At 34.4% G+C, this 23,931-nt stretch overlaps 1 protein-coding gene across 25 annotated transcripts in view; it reads right to left on the reverse strand.

Annotated features, from left to right (window-relative positions):
* DGKB (diacylglycerol kinase beta) overlaps positions 1-23,931 on the reverse strand; it is an 829,810-nt gene that overhangs the window by 320,576 nt on the left and 485,303 nt on the right. For 24 of the 25 annotated variants that reach the window (NM_001350722.2, NM_001350711.2, NM_001350717.2 and 21 more), the window contains one exon: positions 12,537-12,601. In NM_001350722.2, coding sequence (NP_001337651.1) covers positions 12,537-12,601 — 65 coding nt within the window. Of the gene's footprint in view, positions 1-2,084; positions 2,392-12,536; positions 12,602-23,931 lie in introns of those variants that run through there. The other variant, XM_017011792.3, reaches the window with a different exon arrangement.

The raw sequence follows: 23,931 nt of genomic DNA on the forward strand, positions 1-23,931 counted from the left end.
CCTCATTACACTGATTAGAAAATTGGGGCATGGAGAGAGGAGAAATTTTCCTAAAGTCACACAGTTAGGAGGTGGAAGAGCCACTATTTGAAGCCAGGGAGCCCTAACTAGCACATTATAAATATCTGGGGGAAAGAAGAGGTAAATTGAGGAGACCCAAGCATGACTCCGCAATAACATCCCCTGCTTATTAGCGTTGTCTTAATTCTTCATAGTGAAGTATGGCCCATAGGTCACACTTGCTCACATGTGATATATGTAGTGTGAGCCTTACTCCTAGCTGCTGGTGTACACAATTATTGAGACTTTCTGTGATGCATTATCCATCGGATTTGCATGAGTTGGAAGTAGACGTTTGCATGTGCACACAAGCTGGCCTAAGAACAGAAATGAGCCATCAACAGGGAGGGGGAATTATCATATAAATCCTAAACATTTCAAGTGTACATCTACTTCCAGGGATCATAAACATAAAAAGGTTAAATAAGGCAGGAGTTGTCAGTGGTTTGGTGACTATGAAACAGGAATGAGGTAATCAAACTGGTCTTATCTTTCATTGAAAAATACGAACAAGCGCTCATTGAGTGCCTAGGAGCACTCAACAAGCTTTGATCAACAGAGCTTTGGACCATACTTAAAATAGCAACATTAAGGCCAGGTGTGGTGGCTCATGCCTGTAATCCCAGCACTTTGGGAGGCCAAGGCAGGTGGATCACGAGGTCAAGAGATCGAGACAATCCTGGCTAACATGGTGAAACCCTGTCCTGTTAAAAATGTACCAAAGAAAGTTAAAGTCGATTTTAGTACCAGCAAGACCAGTTAACACCTTAGAAATGTTTTTTAAACACAGTGACAGGCCTAAACAGTTGCAGCCAGTCAACACTGCAAAATAGGGGCAAGAACCTTGGACCAAGATTCACTAGAGTGTAATTTACTAATCACAAGGAGGGTTTCTTGTTTACTACTGTATCCTCAGTGTTCCATAAATACATTCAATAAATCTTTGTTGAATGAATAAACCAAAAAAAAAAAAAAACACAAAAATTAGCTGGGCATGGTGGTGCACATCTGTAGTCCCAGCTACTTAGGAGGCTGAGGCAATAGAATCGCTTGAACCTGGGAGGCGGAGGTTGCAGTGAGCTGAGATCGCGCCACTGCACTGCAGCCTGGCGACAGAGCAAGACTCGTCTCAAAATAAATAAATAGCAACATTAATAACGATGGCGTTTATATAGAGAGGCTAGATGGATTCAGCCTGATGACTTTGTCAGTCTCTTATTTTGACCAGTCAAGCTACTAAAGTTCCTATCTAGGGAGTGATGTGGAGCTGTGCTTGTCAAAGCACATTTCTTGGACTATGTCCATCAGAGTTTCTGGAGGACATGGTCAAAAATGAAAATTTCTGGACTATGCCTTGAACCAATTAAATCAAAGCATAAAAGGACAGAAAGTTGTATATACATGTACCATATTTATGCTTAATGAGTTTTTGTATGTTATGTATATAACTATTATATGTTTATATAAGCTAATTGTCATAAATATATTTATTTATATAATTATTTTATTACTTACTGTTTTTAAATATTTTATTACATACTTATTTATATAACTATTAACTATATTATTTATATAAAATTGCTAGAAATTTTCTAAAAGAAATTTTAAATGTTAATTCCACAAAAGTATATGAGTTAATGCATGTGTGAAATATCTTGATTTAGCCATTCCACAATGTATACAAACATCAAAGAATCCTATTGAACATCATAACTAAATACAACTTATGTTTTTAATAAAAATAAAATATAAAATATAAGTAACAGACAAATATATGTACGCATATTATATATATACTTATATAAAACATAACACACATTTTTAATTCTGTATGATGTAATTATTATGCTGACTGAAGTTTGGGAACCATGGCATTACATATCCCAATATGAAAACACTGTTAATGCAGAAAATACAAATTTCAAAATGCTGCATATGTGAGAATATTATTTTTCTCTTCAAAGAGCAATGTTTATGAGTGAACCATTTTTTAAAAAATAAATCATTCAAGGGTAATATTTTAGAATTAACTTTGTTCAGTCAGAAAATAATGTTGAACATTTTCACATAACTACATGTATTCCAAAAGAAATGCATGAGTAACTAATGCTTATGTGGAGGGAGAAGCAACGCAGAGGATATAATTAGTTCCAATTAGCCATGCCAGGGGATTACTTTCTAGGTAAGATTACCTATAATGAGGTGATTAACCTCTTTGGAAAAAGTTCAAGCCAGGCTTACCTTCTACTTAATATGTCCTGTAAAGAAGTGTTACAACGAGGGTCCTCACAATTGTTCCCTGGGATAATTGCCACCAAGAATCAATTGATTCTATTCCAGAAGAATCAAAAAGCATTCTTATTATATTATTGATAGAATGAATCCTAACACATCTATATATTAGAAATTAAGTATTTAAATTTCATATCAAATTAACTAAATTATATGGCACGGATTTTATTTATACTAACAAAACAGCAATTGAACTCTAGTCAATTCCAAATACAGATCTATCGGCTATCTATGAACATCAAAGGGGAAGAAAATTCTATCATTGATATTGGTTAACGTCACAGGCTTATTTCCAAAAGTAGACTGTCCATTGTCTAATTAGTTTAGAGGGTCTCTTCTGTCTCCAGCACACAATTGAATTTTGTTGCAGTTGGAGAGGCTGATGCTAACCTAGGTGGCAGGGCTGAACACAAGGGAACAGAAGCTTCAGTGTTTTCACCATAAAACACGAGATAAATTGAGGATAGGGATTTTGGAAATAATAGATTTAACTGTTGTCCAAGCTTATCTGCAGTTTCTTCCCTTTAAACTAAATTGATAGTTTACTTATTATGGACTAATTAAAATTATTATATATAATATTATCTATGTAATATATCTGTTACATATATATATTGTTGTCAGCTTATAAGGAACAATAAATAATTTTCTTTGTGTTTTAATTTAACAAATACTTCCTGAAAGTTTGCGTGTAGGCATACAAGCTACAACAATGAGTAGAAATTTTTTCTAAAAGTGGTTTTTTACTGTTTAATACTCTTCCCTATAAGAAAATACTTAAACTTGAATTATTCTTGTAATCTTGTGGACATCTCTGAATTAATTACTGTTACTTTACAAATCTTGTTTCTTTATTTGTTATCCTAGAAGTATTTGTATGTGTGTGTATATAAAATTTTTGCATAGACCACATGCAAATTCATGTAAAGTAATAATACAAACCCTAGGAATCGAAAGGCAAAATCAAGGGGAAAATATTTAAAATATTTGCATGGAAATGATAATAATAAAATGTAAGTGTCTTGCAAACAGAAACTAGAAATAAATATTTCTGTTTTATTTAAATTAGAGCATATACAATCAAGCCTTACTTCAGCATGTATCTGTTAGAGCTCAATGGTCACCTTAATTTGGGAGCCCCAGGAAATATCTTCCCTCTGTAAAGTTACAAAGTAGAATTTTTCTCTGGTTTATATTCTTCTGTGGAATTTACGATTATCTAAGCTCTCTCTGATCCCAAGTTCCATTTCTTCATTTATCTTAGATTCTAAAAATCTAGGCCTTAGCTGAATGCCCATCAAACAAACAGGGCTCCTTAGTAAATGTTTGCAGACAAAGGAAACAACCAAATCAATAGCAGATAAGCAGTATTTTATCCAAGCTTCAGAAACTTTATTAATATTTTTTGTTACTTCACTGCAGTGGCAAAAATAAAAAATGAACAGGAGAATAAAAAATGTGGTGTGAAAGAAGAAAGAGAGTGAGGGGCAAAAAAGGAAGGGAGAAAAGTTATTCCCTTCTTTATTCATCCTCCAGTCCTCACTCACTCTATTCCAAAGAGCCATCTTACAAACATGATTTTAAACAGCCTGGATACAGAAGTAAGTGTTCTGGTTTTATTAATGGTGCCAAGAAATGATGCAGGAAGCTTCAGGTGAATTGAAACCCCCTGCATGAGAACACACACAGTCCTGACTCATTTAACCATTCTCATTTCTACCTGCTCAGATCCAACAAAGTATTTAAGCAAGTCTCAACATACAAATAAAAATATATGAATCGAGGAGCATAGTAAATTATTTTAAAAGCTTTACATTAGGAATACACACATAGAAGAGCACATATAATTGTAAGAGATTTATATAAATATGATAAAATGAAAACTCTTAGCAAATATATATGTATACAAATATATAAATCGATGCATCACAAATACATATATGTATACACATATATACATCTATATATTTACCTATTTATCTGTACACTATATGGTTTATAGGCAAACCGTAATTTAGTCATATGGAAAAACTGGCCTCATGATAATGCTTACACACACAAATTTCAAAAATTTCATTTAAATGATATAGCAAAGTATTCTAAGTTAGAATGAAAAATGAGTATGTTTCTTCTTTAAAAACACATCAATTCATTCTAGTACACAGAAACTAAAGACATAAAAGTGCTTTAGGACATGAAACTCTCATGAAGATATGATTCTCTTCAAAAGGTCCCTGCACAACACCACTATTTCTAATAAAACTGATTTTATTCAAAACACTAAAAATGACAAACATTTAACTTTTAATTTCAGTAGTCCTGTTTACCTAGTTGGCTAATAAAAGATAGTGACATATACACAAGGTAGAAGTGTGCCTTAAAACATGATAATAATTTACATTTTTAAATGAAAAAAATTCAGTCTACAATAATGAACTTGTCTTGACTGAGGCAAAAGTGAGGTCAAATACCTGAATGATGACATTGTGATATACTTCATCCTTTCTTTACTTTCACTGTTTTTAATAGATTGTGAATGTCAGTAATTTAAAAATCAATTGTACTCCTGAAATAACAGTTTAATTCCTAAAAGTTTAAAGTGAAAGAAAACATGAATTCCTACAAATGTGATTCTACAAAGATACATGTTAAAAGCCTTCAGAGGAAAATAAATACAAATATCTCCTATATTCTATTTGCTATGTCATACCTGACTCAAAAATATATGTAAGATACACATTTAAGAGAATATCTCATGAAATTGATTGGATGCCAATTTTCAATTGGCTTTTTTCATTTGTACATTAAAGATTCTTACAGAAGATCAAGAAAATTATAAATATGAATACATCAACAGAATATATCATCATGATGTAAGACAATTTGAATTGCTCTGGAACTTCAAAAGCATTTTGTTGAATTCACAGAAATAATTTCTCAATGGTACTTTATATGGTAAGTAAAAATATTTGGCTTTGATATAGCATTTTTCTGTCACTACTGAAATATTATATTTTTAACTTCTCATTATATTCTAGAACTTTAATGGAATTTTTATCTCTAGATAACAAATGGCAATTTTGTGTTCTATTACTCTAGTCTGTGGGCTTTTCTTTGTCTCTATAGCAAAATAGAAAAAAAATACACAGGTTTGATTTTTCTATTCTTAGAAATGATAATTTTCCATATATATGGAATATATGTATATATACATATATGTATGGAATATATGTATATATACATATATATGTATGGAATATATGTATACATACATATATGTGTATGGAATATATGTGTATACATACATATATGTATGGAATATATGTGTATACATACATATATGTATGGAATATATGTGTATACATACATATATGTATGGAATATATGTGTATACATACATATATACACACACATATATGTATAAGCATACATATATGTATAAGGAGAGTGATATTTTATATTTAGTCTTCAGTTCAATACCATCAACACATAAAGAATAATAATTTGAAAATTGTATACTGCTGACATATAAATTGATAAGAAGAAGCACAAACTAATCTATAAGTAATCTCATATTATTTATTTGTAGGACACAGTGCTCAGGGATTTATGTTAAAGAATTTTTGTTTGTTTTGCATTGCTGGTTCTTGAAGGTTATGTACGTAAAGGCTGAGAAAACTAAAAGGTATTAATACCTCAAATAATAGTTATGTAGAATGAAGACTCACTCTACATATCACAGTTCAATCTTTATTGCATTTTTTGCACTATAAAAGCATAAACTATAAAGGTAGTAAGATATATAGAAAAATATAGAGAAGATAAATATACCATGAAATAGTAAATAACTTACAGAATAAATACCTATTGAGTACACAGTATGTTCCACAAACTGTGTAGTTACTAAAGCCCAAGAAAGAAAAAGCAGAAAGTAGTACAGAAATAAATCACATACTTCTGACCAGGGGGCTGAGAACCTATCTTTGTTTCATTCCAAAAATTAGAGACCAGATACTTTGAAATAAGCTGCGTGGATTTAAACAGTATTATTGTGATCGCTGGCCATAAGTGCTTACTAGCTAACTTCTTTTAGTTTATTCTAGTAAAATGGTTTTAGGTGTTACACATTAAGAATTTGAATTGAATCACTGAAATCATGCTATGACTAGATTTTTAAGAAATCTTTGTAAGACCACCTGATACGGTTTGGCTGTTTCCCCACCAAATCTCATCTTGAATTTCCACATGTTGTGTGAGGTACCCAGTGGGAAGTAACTGAATCATGGAGGCAGGTCTTTCCCATGCTGTTCTCATGATAATGAATAAGCCTCACAAGATCGGATAGTTCTGTAAGGAGGAGTTTCCCTGCACAAGCTAGCTCTCTCATTGCCTGCCACCATCCACGTACAATGTGACTTGTTCCTCCTTGCCTTCCACCATGATTGTGAGGCTTTCCCAGCCATGTGGAACTGTAAGTCCAATAAACCTTTCTTTTGTAAATTGTCCAATCTCTAATTAATGTCTATCAGCAGCATGAAAACGGACTAATGCAATAAATTGGTACCAGTAGAATGGGGCACTGCTGAAAAGATACCCAAAAATGTGAGAGCAACTTTGGAACTGGGTAACAGGCAGAGGTTGGAACACTTTGGAGGACTCAAAAGAAGGCAGGAAAATGAGGGAAAGTTTGGAGCTATCTAGAGACTTGTTGAATGGCTTTGACCAAAATGCTGATATTGATACGGACAATGATATCCAGGCTGAGGTGGTCTCAGGTGGAGATGAGGAACTGGTTGGGAACTGGAGCAAAGATGACTTGTTATGTTTTAGCAAAGAGACTGGTGGCACTTTGTCCCTGCCCTAGAGATTTGTGGAACTCAAGAGAGATGATTTAGGGTATCTGGAGGAAGAAATTTCTAAACAGCAAACCATTCAAGAGGTGACTTGGGTGCTGTTAAAGGCATTCAGTTTTATAAGGGAAGTAGAACATAAAAGTTCGGAAAATTTGCAGCCTGGCAATGCTATAGAAAAGAAAATCCCATTTTCTGAGGAGAAATTCAAGCAGGCTGCAGAAGTTTGCATAAGTAATGAGGAGTCAAACGTTAATCCCCAAGACAATGGGGGAAAATGTCTCCAGGGCATGTCAGAGACCTTTGCAGTAGGCCCTCCCATGATAGGCCCAGAGGCATAAGAGGAAAAAATGGTTTTGTGAGCCAAGCCCAGGGTGCCCATGCTGCGTGAAGCCAAGGGACTTGGTGTCCTGTGTCCCAGCTGCACCATCCATGGCTGAAAGGGGCCAACATAGAGCTCAAACCATAGCTTCAGAGGGTGCAAGGCTCAAGCCTCAGCAGCTCCCACATGGTGTTGAGCCTGAGAGTGCATAGCAGTAAAGAACTGGGGTTTGAGAACCTCTGCCTGGATTTCAAAGTATGTATGGAAACGCCTGGATGCCCAGGAAGCAGTTTGCTGCAGGGGCAGGACTCTCACAGAGAACCTCTGCTAGGGCAATGAGGAAGGGAAATGTGGGGTCAGAACCCCCACAATGCATCCCTACTGGGGCACCACCTAGTGGAGCTGTGAGAAGAGGGCCACCATCCTCCAGACCCCAGAATGATAGATCCACCGACAGCTTGCACCATGTACCTGGAGAAGCCCCAGACACTCAATGCCAGCCCGTGAAAGCAGCCAGGATGGGGGACTATACCCTGCAAAGCCACAGGGGCAGAGCTGCTCAAGGTCATGGAAGCCTACTTCTTGCATCAGCTTGACCTGGATGTGAGACATAGAGTCAAAAGGAGATCATTTTGGGGCTTTAAGATTTTACTGCCCCACTGGATTTTGCAGTTGTGTGGGGGCATGTAGCCCCTTTGTTTTGGCCAATGTCTCCCATTTGGAATGGCTGTATTTACTCAATGTCTGTACTCCCATTGTATCTAGGAAGTAACTAACTTGCTTTTGATTTTGTAGGCTCATAGGCAAAAGGGACTTGCCTTGTCTCAAATGAGACTTTGGACTGTGGACTTTTGAGTTAATGCTGAAATGAATTAAGACTTTGGGGGACTATTGGGAAGGCATGATTGGTTTTGAAATATGAGGACATGAGATTTGGGAGGGGCCATGGGCAGAATGATATGGTTTGGCCATATTCCCACTCAAATATCATCTTGAATTTCCATTTGTTGTGGGAAGGACCTGGTGGGTGGTAATTGGATCATGGGGGTAAGTTTTTCCCATGCTGTTCTTATGATAGTGAGTAAGTCTCATGAGATCTGATGGTTCTACACGGGGGAGTTTCCCTGCACAAGCTCTCTCTCTCTTTGCCTGCTGCCATCCACATAAGATGTGACTTGCTCCTCCTTGCCTTCTGCCATGATTGTGAGGCCTTCTCAGCCATGTGGAACTGTAAGTCCAATAAACCTTTCTTTTGTAAATTGTCCAGTCTCAGATATGTCTTTATCAGCAGCGTGAAAACAGAGTAATACACTGCCAATACTTTTCCTATAACTGGTTCCATTTTGCAAGTTACTTGGAAGTCCTTTTCAATGTTACATAGTTTTACACAAGGAATTCCACACTGCTTTGCATGTTTTTCTAAAATCATTATACGCCTTTATAATTGCCCTTTTTAATGTTGCTTATTTTAGTATGGTAATAAATAATTATTAATATCCTTTTTTTCAAAAAAGGAAGTATTTAAAGTCATCTCTCTAAATAGCACCATGAGAAGTATTATGTATGTGAATTATGAATGTAAATATGTTTATGAATACTAATTGACAATTTATATAAATATTTTAAATACCAATATTATGTAATAAATAGTTTAAAATTCTAGTAGCATAAATATTTAGTTTTTTTTTTTCTTGAGTCTAAAGGACTGGAAGTTTTTATTCAAATTCCGTTTGTTGGAAGAATATCTTAAAGTTTAGAAAGTTAAACAGCATGCTTTCTTTTAACAGTTAACTTAGATTTATATAGAAATTTGGAAAGAATATGATATAAACCTTTCAACTAGCACTCTCTTAAGCAACGGAAAAATCATTACCTTTCCCTGTTCTTTCAATTTCTGTCATAAGAAGCATAGAGAACAGAACTATATATTGTGGTAATTAATTTCCTTAAGATAATGTTAGAAACATCATGTTCTTTAAAATATAAATGAATTTCAAGGTGAGCATGCTAGAGGATAATATTAATGGCATGTGATTTATTGTGACAAGAGATCTGATCTGAAATACCATTATTAGGAGTACTTAAAAAAATCCATTTGCAAATTCCTGAAAATATGAAAGTGTGCTATGGCTGAGCCTGTCGCAATGTTGAAATCTGAACTATCTGCCATTGTAAGTATGAAATTGCTTGGGTACAATATGTCTTCCTCACAGAAATTCATCAGAAAATGTTCATATCCTGAATATATCACATTATGGTTTAGGGAATTGCCTAAATGCTTGAAATGATAACTGTAGACTTAATCTGCAAATGTATAGATTGAAACATACATGCCTAATTGACGTGGTAATATATGGAATTCTGTGGCTGATCATTATCTTAAAAAATATTTGGCCAATAATACATTGAACATCTACTCTATACCTGGTTCTTGAACTCGCAATAGAAACCTGTGACTTTGTGTCATTTTAGAGAGCATTTTCTATGTTATTATCTCTAGCAAAGACTCCCTATAAGCTATTTATAAGCGAGGTTCATTCATGACTCAAATTTGCAAAGAAGTTTTAATACAGTTAGTTTTACATCTTATAAAAAACATTGAAGTTTACAAACACATTGTTATAAATGGCATCTAATCACATACTGAGCAGTGAGGAATGTCACAAATTAGTAGAGCTATTAGTAATAAAAGATTAAATAGATATGTGAATAATAGGAGTCTTTATGAGTAAGAAGACTTAAAAATTATTCTGCAGAAAGAAATTCATTAGCCTCTGATGCTTGAGAGAGGGTAATAAATATTGGCATTCTTACACATAGGTTGTCAAATATGATTAGCACATAAATATATTGATATATCTCTCTATAAAGCCTTTAATGAACTTTTTTATGTTAAACTCTCTAAGAGGTACACTCCAAAAGGTATTATCCAAACACACTTTCGTTTTTTGCTTGAAACCTATTTTAATATATGAATATAAACTTCTTTATGAATATAACTTAAATAATATATATGAATATAAATATGAATGCTTCATAGAATGACATGTGGGAAAGCATAGACTACTCTATCTTATAATATGTTTTGTACACATTAATAGCTATATTCATTTCCAGGATATTTGAGGTGTATAATCAAGTGCTGAAATCTATACAGTACATATACTTTCACTGTTATGTCAATTTATTTTTACATGTGTTTCATGAACTGAAACTAAATCTTGTAAAATAAAAATGTCTATTCTAGGTACAAAGGCAACTTATAGTGCAAAATTTTAATTAGATTACTTTGATTTAATTTTGAAATGCACCTGGAGAAAAATTCAAACAGTACAATAAAGAAAAATACAGTTGTCACCACAACCACTTTGTTCCCATCTCCAGAAGCAACCAGAGTTATAAAATTTGTGTGAATTATTCTGAAAATATATGTACACATATATATCCATATATGCATTTATTTCATTTTCTTTACGATAAAAAGTATAGTTTTCTGAACTATAAGAAAAAAGCAAATCATAAGGTCATGATTTATTTGTAGGGTAAAAAACAAATCAAGGAAATACCCAACATAGGTATTAGATTATGTTTTTAGTTACTAAAAACATTTTTTTTTTTTTTTTTGAGACGGAATCTCACTCTGTTGCCCAGGCTGGAGTGCAATGGTGCAATCTCAGCTCACTGCAACCTCCGCCTCCAGGGTTCAAACGATTCTCCTGCCTCAGCCTCTTGAGTAGCTTGGGTTACAGGCACCCACCACCACGCCCTCATTTTTGTATTTTTAGTAGAGACATGGTTTCCTCATGTTGGTCAGGCTGGTCTCGAACTCCCGACCTCATGATCTGCCCGCCTTGGCCTCCCAAAGTGCTGGGATTACAGGCGTGAGCCACCGTGCCCGGCCTACTAAAAAGATCTCAATAGGTAAATTTAAGGAAAAATTAGATACAAACTCATGAAACATTTGCTGTGATGATTTATGCATAAAGTAGTGCAATTTTAATATTTAGAAAACTATAAAACAATTTTGAAATAGTTTTTAACAGCATTTTATTTATTGTGAACCTACATGGGAGAAGATTACATCAATGTACTCATGAGTGACAAAACTGAAATAAATTTAAGAATGTCCAGGTGCAGGTATCTAATAAATGGTCTATAACATTTATGGCAAGATGTCAGCCAAATGCAGCGACAATAAAGCCCTTGGCTTTGAATATTAATAGATAAAGTCACTTAAATATCTATACAGAAATGCTAGTTATGGTTTTGTAGCTTTGTGAGCTGAATAGAGTGGAAATGAGTATAATTGAAGCAAAAGATAATTCACTTCTTCTGCCCCACTTTTCTAGGGGAGTGAGGTGGAGAGAGCCATATTTCCTTCTAGAAATGGGGAAGATACGGAACCAAGGCTTTCCTGTTTCCCTGAGTAACTGTGAAGGTCAATGTCTACATTTTTGAAGAAAAAATGTTTGCCTATTGCTCTTATGAGGAAAGAAATTTTGTTCGTCAAGTCTTTTCTCCTTGAAGAAATGTCTCTAAAAATAATTTATATTGGTATTGATATTACTATAATTTCTTTTGATTTAGTTTAGGCCAATTTGAAGCTGATAGTCCAAAGATATATAATCCCTATGTAATATACACTTAGCATTATCAAATCAGAACCCTGTGTTTTTCCTTGGGATCAAGGTTGATTGCTGTTCATATACGTCATGAAAACTTCCAGTGTGTCTTAAAACTATTAATTTCATGTTTTACTTGAAATCTTTCTTTATAATACATGAGAATGAAATAGAGATGACCCATTGCATTCCTCATTATAGTTTCATCACAACCTAAGAAAAATTTAATTCATTTATCCTACCATCTTAATATTTACACACACACACACACACACGCACACAAAGCCTCATAAAGCCAGTAGATTATAAAATATTCTGTACCATCTAGTGATCTTTTTATGGCAAAATTCAGCAACTATATCTATAATTTCATCTCTTTTGTCACCTTACCTACTGTTGAATTTCTCTGGGTGTTTTTCTCTCATGATGTGGAATCTGTGTGCAATGGAGGCATCCTAAGGGGAGAAAATAGAAAACAAAAACAGGATGGTTTATGATCCTATTATTTTATGAAAATGTAGACTAAATAAAAAAATAACATTTCAAAATGAACTTTTATTTACAATATTATTGCCAAGAAGGTTATGTAAAATTAGGCAAAAATGTGTGATCCATATGCAGAAGTGATTTATGTAATTCTATGCAGAAGTGATTTACGTAATAATTTCACAATTGATTATTTGTTACATTTACATCTAAGACTTTATTGCTATTTAATTTCTATATCTCCTTTAATGACTGGCTTTGGCCTCATGTTCAACGTATGTTGAAGATAGCACATATGAGTGTAAATGTCAAATAGTAATGGAAAATACTGTTAAACAAGAGTTAGAAGGATGCCCTAAGTGGAGAAATGATCAGTACAGAGGCTCCTAATTATTTGAGATAATTATGAGTAAAAGGATGGTGTGAGTGTGCATGTCTAGTAAAGATAAGTGCAATACTTGACTTCAGAATTTGCTCAGGTTGTCTTGATGTGTAATTAATAACAGTTTGGACCACAAGCAACTTTCTGGCATAGCTCGTTGAATAGAAAAAAAAAACAACAACAAAGAGAAACATTTATTTTTGGGGAATTGGTGACAAATACAATTTGTTTCTGAGACCCCAAGTGCATCGGTTCTGACCCTAATGGATGTTTCTTACTTTTAGCAAATACAGAATTTTTCCATGAGATAGAAATCATACTCAATGTGTGAGACTGCTGAAATACTGCTATCCAAGCTTTTCAAGCACGGACTGCTCCAACTGACTCTAAACAATTATCTCTGTTATTCCAAGTGTGGAGATATTTTCCCATTCTTCAACCACACATGATTAATCACTCAAATGAGGAACTAATATATTTACCAGTCATCTCAACAGAAAAGGGCTATTGTTGACATTCACTGTTAATTTTGTTTCAAAGTGGAGATAAAAGAAAAAGAAAACCAAACTCAAGGAAATAAAGAAGTTGTGTATTTGAGAGAATCTTGAAAACACTAATCAAGGATTAAAAGTCTAATGAATGAAATGAAAGGCTAATGTGCTTACTCATGCATAACAAAGCATGAAGCACAAAAAGAGAGGGACCAATGCCCACTGCAGATGGCAGAGAGTTGCAGGATACAGCTAACTGTAATTTTTTTTCTGTATAAACATTTGATACCCTAAAATTTGTCAAGTAATTGAATGAATCCATGAATGAAAATCACCCAGACATATAGATAGAGGTGTATAGAAACAATGCTTATAATAAAGGTTACAAAAATCCCCCTCTACGGTTTAATATTTAAGACGTTATTTTGTTATATATACATGGCCAACTTCCTGGTTTGCTAGGAAGTACAAATATCAAGATGGTTCACTTTTATTCGTCCAACGATAACTCTCTAATCTAGTCACAGAGTTCCTTTTTATAAATTTAATTCTATTAAGTCATAAACATATTATACTTTATAATATGAAGTTGTCTTACTGTGGTATGAGATTACAGGAAAAACACCTGAACTGGGCTATTTATGGTATATGTAGCATGATCAATTAATTAATTTTGAAATGCACTTACTTTTACTTTATCCCTAATCTGGTACAAAATCAACTTGGAATACCTTCCAATTAAAGGCATACATTCAGCAGACTAGTTAAACAAAGCAAAGGAATATGAATCAAACACTAAGAATGAATAATCAATATTGCTTCCCATAGGGAGAGTATCATTGAATTTACTTCTGCTTGAATTGTTTCTGCTAAGTTGGGGAGACTGAGACTTTTAAAAATAGATTGTGTAGTACAATTTTTTTTACAGGTGTATATTTTTGTAATGACAAATTTCTTCCTTTACAAAGCAACATAAACAGAATAGAGAAAGGGAGAGAGGCAAGAAGACAGGAGGGAGAAGAGAGGGGAGAGACAGCAAAAGACCATTTAAGTAGACTAGACTATAATTGGGTAAACTCCTAGAAACACAGGACTACATAGCCAAAGATAGAACTAATATTAGCTTATTTATCTTCAAGATACTTGGGCAATGGATCATTTAGTTAAGAGGGGAAAAAATAAAACTTAGTGTCAAACACTAGCAGGTCTTTTCCTTGTGTTGAATAGGTTCCACCATAAAAAGAGAACTGGCATTGCCAACTACAGGATTGATAAGGAACAATGACAGCAGGTGTTCATTTGGATGAGAATTCAGATCCAATTCACATGGGACCCTGTCCCTTTGGCATAACCCCAAAGGGCTTGATAGAGTACTGCCAAAATCTGCAACACTATCCAGCAGCCATTTTTCAAGAGACACCAAAGGTTCTCTAAAGACAGCCAAATAAGAAAAAGCTAAAATGCCATTTTAAAATAAATTTTACCATTTCTGTCTGAATGCATTACAGTTTTTAGACAACAGAAATAAATCAGCATTACTTCCGCTTCCTAGAAGGCACAAACTCTGAATTCAGACTTTCTACTTCCAAGCCTTGTGACTTCAAACAAATTATTTATTCATTGAGAACCACAACTTCCTTATCTTTAAAAGAGGATACTGACATCCCTTCAAAGTACCTTGGTGGAGATTTAATATCATTCTCTATAGCAATTGGAACAGTATTCTATATAGCTCATATTTTCATACATCTTATATACAAACCAGTATTTTCTTAAAGTTAAATGAGAATGCTAAATATGGTTAAATGACATATTTTTGAAATATATTTTTAAAGACTTACATTGCTTTTTATTATTTCCTTAACCTATATAGCTTTATTTTTAATTAATTAAAAAAATCTAAGAAATGAAAATAAGTCAATCTTATTAAAGCAAAACAAATTTAAACCTCATTGTGTTATTCAAACAGTAAAAATGTAATTAGCAACTTTTCTTGCTACGTGTACATATATAAGTATATGCAAATATATGTATATAGAATAATCAGCTTATTAGCCATATGTGTCTCAAATACTTGATCACTAGTATTTTTCTGAAATGTATTTTTCCTTTTTCTGTATAGGCTTATTTATGTTTTAAGTAAAATTGCCCTAAATCTCCAAATTTGCATTTTATGATATTAATTTGAAAAGCTGAATATTTTCTATGGATCATAACATTTTCAATTGAGAGAATGTTCTATATGTATTGAGATCCCAGAGCCTATAGCAAATTCTGCTGAGGAGAATATTGTCTTTATAAAATGTAAAATAGAGGTACCCAAATATTGTCATCAATATTATCTTTTATTCTGTTTAAATAATCTTTCTCTCACAAATAGTTTCTAAAATTTGTCGAGTAAATTGTTCATTTTTGATGATTTGACCATTGCACCACATTAAATATCTTTTCAATTTTTTTCCATTTTAGAATAGAATATAAATTTAGCCAATTAGAAATGAGTGTCATCAAGAGTTATTCCAAAATCTAATTTTAGAATTAAAAGTAATCTTGCATACTATATGGGTTTTTATTGTTGAAATAATTTAGTTCTTCCTTGTTTTTGGAGGAATGAATTCCAATCTCTCCCTGTGTGCAAACTTTTCTTTTTCTCAAAAATTGTAATTTACTAAAAAGTTTCAAAAGCTGGTTTTCGGTGCTGTATTTGTTGAATATTTTGTTAAAGATTTCCAGTAATATTTTTGGAGTGTTACTGCAAACAAGAAAATTGCCAATTTTAAGTGTATACTTCAAAAAGTTTTGTCAAAGGTACACAATAACAACAATCTTTTCCTATGCTTTTGTTCATTCATATTTCTTCTTATGTGGACTACATATTGAAGTCTGTGTCCATTTATCTCTGTATATTAAATTGACTGGGTTCAAGACCCAGCTCTAAATTTTACTGAATATTTTACTTTGAAAAGTTTGCTTAGATTTTCATTATTGTCATTTTCCTATATTAAAATAAGAATAATTTTAATAATACCTGCCTTGCTTTGAAGATCTGGTGTTCTAATACCTGGAAGATAACTAGAATTGTGCCTGGTGTATAGAAAGCAAGAAAATAAATGTTAACTATTACTATTACTGAAAAATATTCATGATTTTGAGATTCATAATACCTTCTCCTTTGGTTTATTGAGATGGTTAATTAAATAAATTGCATAATCTTTAAGATGAAGTATATGAGGAAATTTTTGCTTTGGTATTCAGAATTTTTTGGGTTATGCATTCATATATGATAAATTATCTAACAAACTCAAAAGGGTGAGGAATATCACACTATACTTAAACTTCACATAAATATTTCTGCACTAGTACATATGAATATTAACTCAAGGAAAGATAAATTAACAATGTGAGATAGAGCTAACTGTAATTACAGTTATACTAGAAACACTACACTTTGTAATACCACAAAGAGCAGCTTAGTTCAGGTTATAGTTCTCACTAAGAAACTATAAAAATCTGGGTTTTCAAAGCTTTGTTAGATTGAGCTTTTAGGTAAGAGATTGTGGTTCTGTATTTCCCATCTGGAATAAAACAATGTTTGCTCTCCTGATAGTGTTTACCTGAATGTACTATGCTCTCCTGACAATCATTACCTGAATATACTATGTATATAAGGCACTATTTTCACCTGTTAATATTTTTAAAGAAAATTACAATAATAGCCACAAGTGGGATTATTTCCCAGGCAGACTGTATCAGATATTGATATCTGTAGTGCTGGGTTGATTAAATAGAGCCAGAAGGTTTTCTTCTTTATGCTGCAGAATAGTTAATAATGCATGGGAATTATTTGTTCTTTAATCATCTGTGAAATGTTGGCCTGGCATTTTTTTTTTTGGAGAAGTTAACGTTTTGGTTTTCTTAATTTCTCTGCTATATTAGTTTTTCTATCTCTTCATAAATTATGTTTTTTATTACATCATCTGTAGTGGGCTCAATGGTGCCCCCCAAAAAGATATCAGATCCTAATAACTGGAACCTGGTAACTTTTTTTACAGAAGTGACCAAGTTGATGATTGATATCGATTGGAACCAGTGACCCCTCTCTACATTGCACTTTCTTTTTGCGGGAATAGGAATGCGTACAACTGTGATACTATGCTTTTTTGCCACTGTATTTTGAAAGCACATAACTTGTTTTCTACTTTAACATGTCCACAAATGGAGAGATATTTTACCTGAAGATGGATGATACTAAGTGTCATCTGTATCTGATTTAGGTTATTTACATGATGAGCTTTGAGACTTGGAGCTGAAGATATTTAGATCAGATTTTCTACTTAAGTTGATGACGTAAAGGACTGAGCCATTTGGGGATATCAAGAAGAGGTAAATGTATTTTGCACACAGACATGAATCTTTGGGGGCCAGAGGACAGTTAGCAGTGGGATGACTGTGATCCCTAAACATATCAGGTCCTAATCTCTAGAACCTTGAAATGTTACCTTTGATGGTAAAGGTTTTTGAAAATATGATTAATAATTTGGTGATGAGAAGATTATCCAGGTGGGACGTAATTCCCTTCACAATTTCCTTATGAGAGAGAGACAGAGATTAGACAGGAGGAGACGATGCGACTACAAAGGCAGACATTGGAGTGGTGCAGCCACAACTTAAAGAATGCTGAAAGCCACCAGAAGCCAAGAGCCACAAGAAATGTTTTGTTCTCCATCACCTCTGGAGGGAGCATAAACCTAGGAGCACCTCGATTTTAGTCCAAGGATATTAAATTTGGATTTATCATCTCTTGAACTGTGAGACAATACATTTCTGTTGTTATAAGTCAACAGGTTTGTGGTAATTTGTTACAGCAGGCATGGGAAACTTATACTTCATCTGTTCATGTAGGGTTTTTTTTTTTTTGAGAAAAACATTATTCTATAATATTTTAATTCTTTCTTGAATCCATGGTTATTTTGATCCTCTTAATTTGAATTTGCATTATTTTTGTATTTAACACACAGTTTAGAATCTATAACTTAGCAAAAAGGCATAAGAGCACATTAGAATAGGCATAGCAAAGCCTATATATATGTCAACTCCACAAAGTTGACACACAACAACCAAACAGTAAAACTCTAGAGGTAAAAATTGTTGTTTTGAAAAGAAGGATTTATTTTAACGCGACAATATAGTGTAGATGTTTTCCCCTCTGAACATCATGTTGAATTGTGGTACCCAGTGTTGGAGGTGGGGCCTCGTGGGAGGAAATTAGATCATGGGGGCAGATTTCTTATGAGTGCTTCAGCACCGTCTCCTTGGTGTTGCCACAATGGGTGAGTTCTCATGAGATCTGGCTTCCTAAAGTGTGTGGCATCTCCCCCCACCTCTTGCTCCTGCTATTGCCATGTGAGGCACCTGTTGCCCCTTTGCTTTCCGCCATGATTGTAAGCTTCCTCAGGCTTCAACAGAAGCTTAAGCTGGTGCTATGCTTGCTGTACAGTCTGCAGAACCTTGAGCCAATTAAATCTCTTTTCTTAGAAATTACCCAGCCTCAGGTGTTTCTTTACAGCAAGCAAGAATGGCCTAACACACCCCAGATAGCACTGCTGAGTATCTATTTAAGATTGTATGTGCGATCTTTAGAAATATAACACATCAAGAATTAGACAATAAAAGTTACATGTATCATAAAGAAAAAGAAAGGCTATCATTATTTATACATGATATAATGTTATATACAGCAAATTCAAAGAAATAAACTGAAATCCACATAAATTGGGAGAAGAGTTTAAAGTTTCCCAGATATAGGAGTAGTATATAACAATTAGTGGAATTGACAACATTAAAACAAAGTAACAGAAAAATAATACCATTTACAATGGCAAAAGTAATTATAAATATATAGGTAAAAAGTCTGTTAATCTGAGTCCTATGGGGAAAAATGATAATTACTGAAAGACACACACACACCACACACACACACACACACACACACACACACACACACACAATCAGTGGAGATACACACTATCCTGAGTTACAAAGATTTAGGGAGTTGATGTTACAGTGTCTGAGGAATGATACAAGCTCTTCTAAATGCGAGCACAGGTAGCAGCACCTGGACTTTACTCTGCTAGATTGCATTTTTTGTCTTTTAGAACTAATGCTCATGAGGTGTGTGTGTGTGTGTGTGTGTGTGTGTGTGTGTGATTCGACAGGAACTCAGATGCATTATGATGCACATCTGCAATTTTGCCTGCTGTGAATACTTCAGATGGAACCCATTGTAGATTTCTGTTACTTAGTTTTGGATTACACTGCTGGAACAACCAGGGCATTTTTCTAGAATGAAATAACTTAGAGACTTGGAGAAATACATGATTGAGAGCAAGTTAATGGGATTTAGAATAAAGCAAATCCCTAGAGTAGGATATAGGATTTGCTGAATGGTACATGAAAATTCAAAAGCAGATTTTAAATAGGGACACCTGGCCGGGTGCGGTGGCTCACGCCTGTAATCCCAGCACTTTGGGAGACTGAGACAGGCAGATCACTTGAGACCAGCCTGGCCAACATGGTGAAACCCCATCTCTACTAAAAATACAGAAAAAAAAAAATACCCGGGCATGGTAGTGGGCACCTGTAATCCCAGCTACTGGGAGGCTGAGGCAGGAGAATCATTTGAACCCAGGAGGCGGAGGTTGCAGTGGGCTAAGACTGCGCCATTGCACTCTGGCCTGGGTAACAAGAATAAAACTCCATCTCAAAAAAAAAAAAAAAATAGGGACACCTTTGTATGAAGGTGGCTGCACCCGTGAGCAGGTTCCAAGTGAATTATTTAATTTCTTGGGTATTTGATATTAGGTGATGGCAAAATTTATAATTAGAATCCAGTTCAAGTTATTAATCTCAAACTTTACAATCCACTTCATTCTTTTTTTTAAAAAATAATTATTCCATAAAGTTGGACATGGTCATATCACTCTTGTGATTATGTTGCAGAGGGCAGTGATACCTGGGTTATCTGTGAGATAAGGCCTGCCTTACTTCAGCATTTTCCCATTGTCCCTCCCATTCAGGAAGGGCCCCTTGGGAAAGTAGTAGCTATACACTGGGAGAAGGGGCAGCATCATTGTTCCATCAAAAACAGATGGTGGCCTCTAATCTGAAGAAGTGCCCTATTGTAATTGGAGGAAAGTTTACTCTTTTTAAATGACTACCAAAAAGTCTGTGGGAAACCACATAGGATCATGCAGAATACTGGGGTAGGTAAAACACTCGTATGTCCAAAGGGACAATGTGAGGAGCTAGTTACCAGACCCAGAGGGAAAGAGTTATATAGAGAAAACGGCCTTGGGAGGAAAAGACATCCAGCCCCAGGTGACATTTTCACCGAGGTATCCAGGAACGTAAGAACCTGAACCCTGCTTTATATCCTCTCATCTACTGTGGGGATCTCAACTGGCCAACTCCACTAGAAGAAAGAGGGCAAGGGAACTTTGCTGTCTTCTATACAGGACATTTCTCAGGCAGACAGCAGAACGAACAAGGGCAGAGAGAATATCTAGAGAGGCAAACAGAAGCACCCAGAACACAGGGACCACAGTCCTTGAGATTCAATGCTTATGGTAGAATGGAGAGCTGTGTGTGCACAGAAGTCTAAAAAGCACCAGTACCAAATCTATGGTAAAGTATTGACAATTATTAATTAAGGTGACCACCGGAGTATCAGTATAAATTGTTTTATATTTTCCACTATACATTATGCATTAAACATTTACATTTAAACTTCAACAATTTAGATTAAAAATATTTCATTAAATCTATAGATTTAATTTAACTGAAGTAAAAGATTAATCTTTTGTCTTATTAAAATTGATACGTAGCATCACCTTTAACCTTTTCATAATGGCAAGAGTCATCTTGTTAAGTAACACATGCCACGTACCGTGGTGGGCAGAGTGTGTAGGGCTATTCACTTTCCATGAAATGACTCCAGACTGCCGAGTGGTAGTTGTGCCTTGTAATCGTTTCTGGATTTTTAACTTATTTCCTCTTCCACCACATTAGACTGTTAACATTCTAATATGTTAAATTCTAACATGCTGCAAACAACACGCCTGTCCCTAGCAGTTTCCTCCGGTTTGCTTGATTTTAATTTTCATGTGTTGAAAAGAAATGAAACCTTAGAATTTTAAATTTAGAATTGACCTTAAATAATGCTCATAGGTTAGACTAGTAAAGTGGTTTTAAAAAAGCCAAGATGAATCTAGAATAGGACCAATAAGCATAAAAGGAGCTGGATTAAATCTCTGTGGACTTCTACCATAAGTGAATGTTAGTAATTTTCTATGTGAACTTTAAGTTAATCATTGTAACTATTTCTAAATATTTAATTATGCCTACTGCCTAGATTTCCATTTTACTCCAAAAAGTCAAAGTTCTTAAGAAAATTCCTTTTTTTTTTTTTTTTTTGGAGACAGAATCTCTCCCTGTCACCAAGGCTGGAGTGCAGTGGTGACATTGGCTGCAGTGCAGTGCAATAGCTCACTGCAGCCTTGAACTCCTGGGCTCCAGTGATCCTCTTGCCTTGACCCCTCGAGTAAGCTGGGATTACAGGCATTAGCTATCATGCCTGACTAACTTTTTTTTTTTTTTCTTTAGAGATGAGAGATGAGGTCAAGCTATGTTGTCCAGGCTACTCTCCAACTCCTGGCCTCAAGTGATTCTCCTACTTCAGCCTCCAAAAGTGTTGGAATTAACAGGTGTGAGGCAATGTGCCTGGCAAAAATGACCTTTGACAAATCAATTATTATTGGAAATAAAATATATTTCTCATCTGCTGTAAATAAAAACTTATGAACATTGTAATGGAATATGACAGGATTGAAAGCAAATGTACAAATGATTACTATGAGTCTCAATTCCAAAACAGAAACCCATGACTACAGCTAGGGAACCAGATGAAGAGATTTTAATTAAGTTTTAATAATCTTACTGAGAATTTCTCTAGGTTACAAATATTTCATACAGAAGAGTTCATGAAATTGGGCAGACTAATTCAAAATATGAAAAAAATTGACCTCAGAGAATCTAGAGACAACTTCCAAGAAGAGAATATAAATTATAAATCCCACTCTTGCTCTTTCCTGCGTACAATATGTAGCATTAGCAATGCCAGAAAACGTCTGTAATGGTCTTTTCACATAATTAACTGTAAGCTTCAGAAACAAACTTGTAGAAAGAATAAACTTACTATACACTTACTATAACCACAGATATATCATTTCTGTGATTAAAATGCTCCCTTAAATACAAAGTTTCTTCTACCAAGCAAATTCCAGACTCATTTTTAATGGATTAAAGAGATGGAATTTCTCTCAAGGCGTTTATTTTAAATCTCTAGATTTAGGCCAGGTGCAGTGGCTCACGCCTGTTATCCCAGCACTTTGGGAGGCTGAGGTGGGCAGATCACCTGAGGTCAGGAGTTCGAGACCAACATGGTGAAGCCCCATTTCCACTAAAAAAAAAAAAAAAAGTATATATATAAAATTAGCTCGGTGTGGTGGCACGCACCTGTAGTCCCAGCTACTCGGGAGGCTGAGGCAGGAGAATCGCTTGAACTCAGGAGGAGGAGATTGCAGTGAGCCGAGACTGCGCCACTGCACTCCATCCAAACGGGGTGACAGAGCAAGACTCCGTCTCCAAAAAAAAACAAAAAAAAACAAAAAAAACCCAACAACAACAACAACAACAACAAAAATTATTTTCTAGAAATCTAAACAACAAAAATTAGGTCTAGAAATCTAAAATGAAGAAAATTGTAAAGAGCATACAATCAGCAACTGAATTAAAAGTGTAATCCAACATGTCACTGAAGAAACAAATCATCTGTGTCTTAACATAGAATTAATCTACTTCCCTAAGTGTCACCTGACAAGAAAATACTTAACAAAAATCTTTACTAAGATGATCATAGGCCTAGAATATTTCACAAACTCTGCCTGTATCTATTGAATAATGTAGGGTTCCAGTGTGTTTTGGTCTCCCTCTAATAGAATCCTTATTTCATAGTTTCCATTCCTCTTTCCCAATTAGAAAACAATGACAGGTATATAAACTTATATAGCTAAGATATTTACTATAATCATTTGATTGAGATTTTGAATTGAGAAATCAAGTCAATGTAATATATTTAAAACTGTTCATTTCACAGTAAATTAGATATTTAACTCTGTTTTAGTTTCTGGAAACCCTAAGTGTTTTTGCTGATATATATTATTTTCAATAATCAAGATATCTTTCTCAGTTAAGGCACAAAGGTTGTATCCATCAATTACATTTATATGTCTCAGGTTGATTGGTCATTACAGTATTCATTCAATCTGATAAAAGCTGCAAATGTGTTCAGTGATTTGATATAATTTCC

The sequence above is a fragment of the Homo sapiens genome, chromosome 7, assembly GCF_000001405.40.
Source record: "Homo sapiens chromosome 7, GRCh38.p14 Primary Assembly".
NCBI classification, from domain to species: Eukaryota; Metazoa; Chordata; class Mammalia; order Primates; family Hominidae; genus Homo; species Homo sapiens.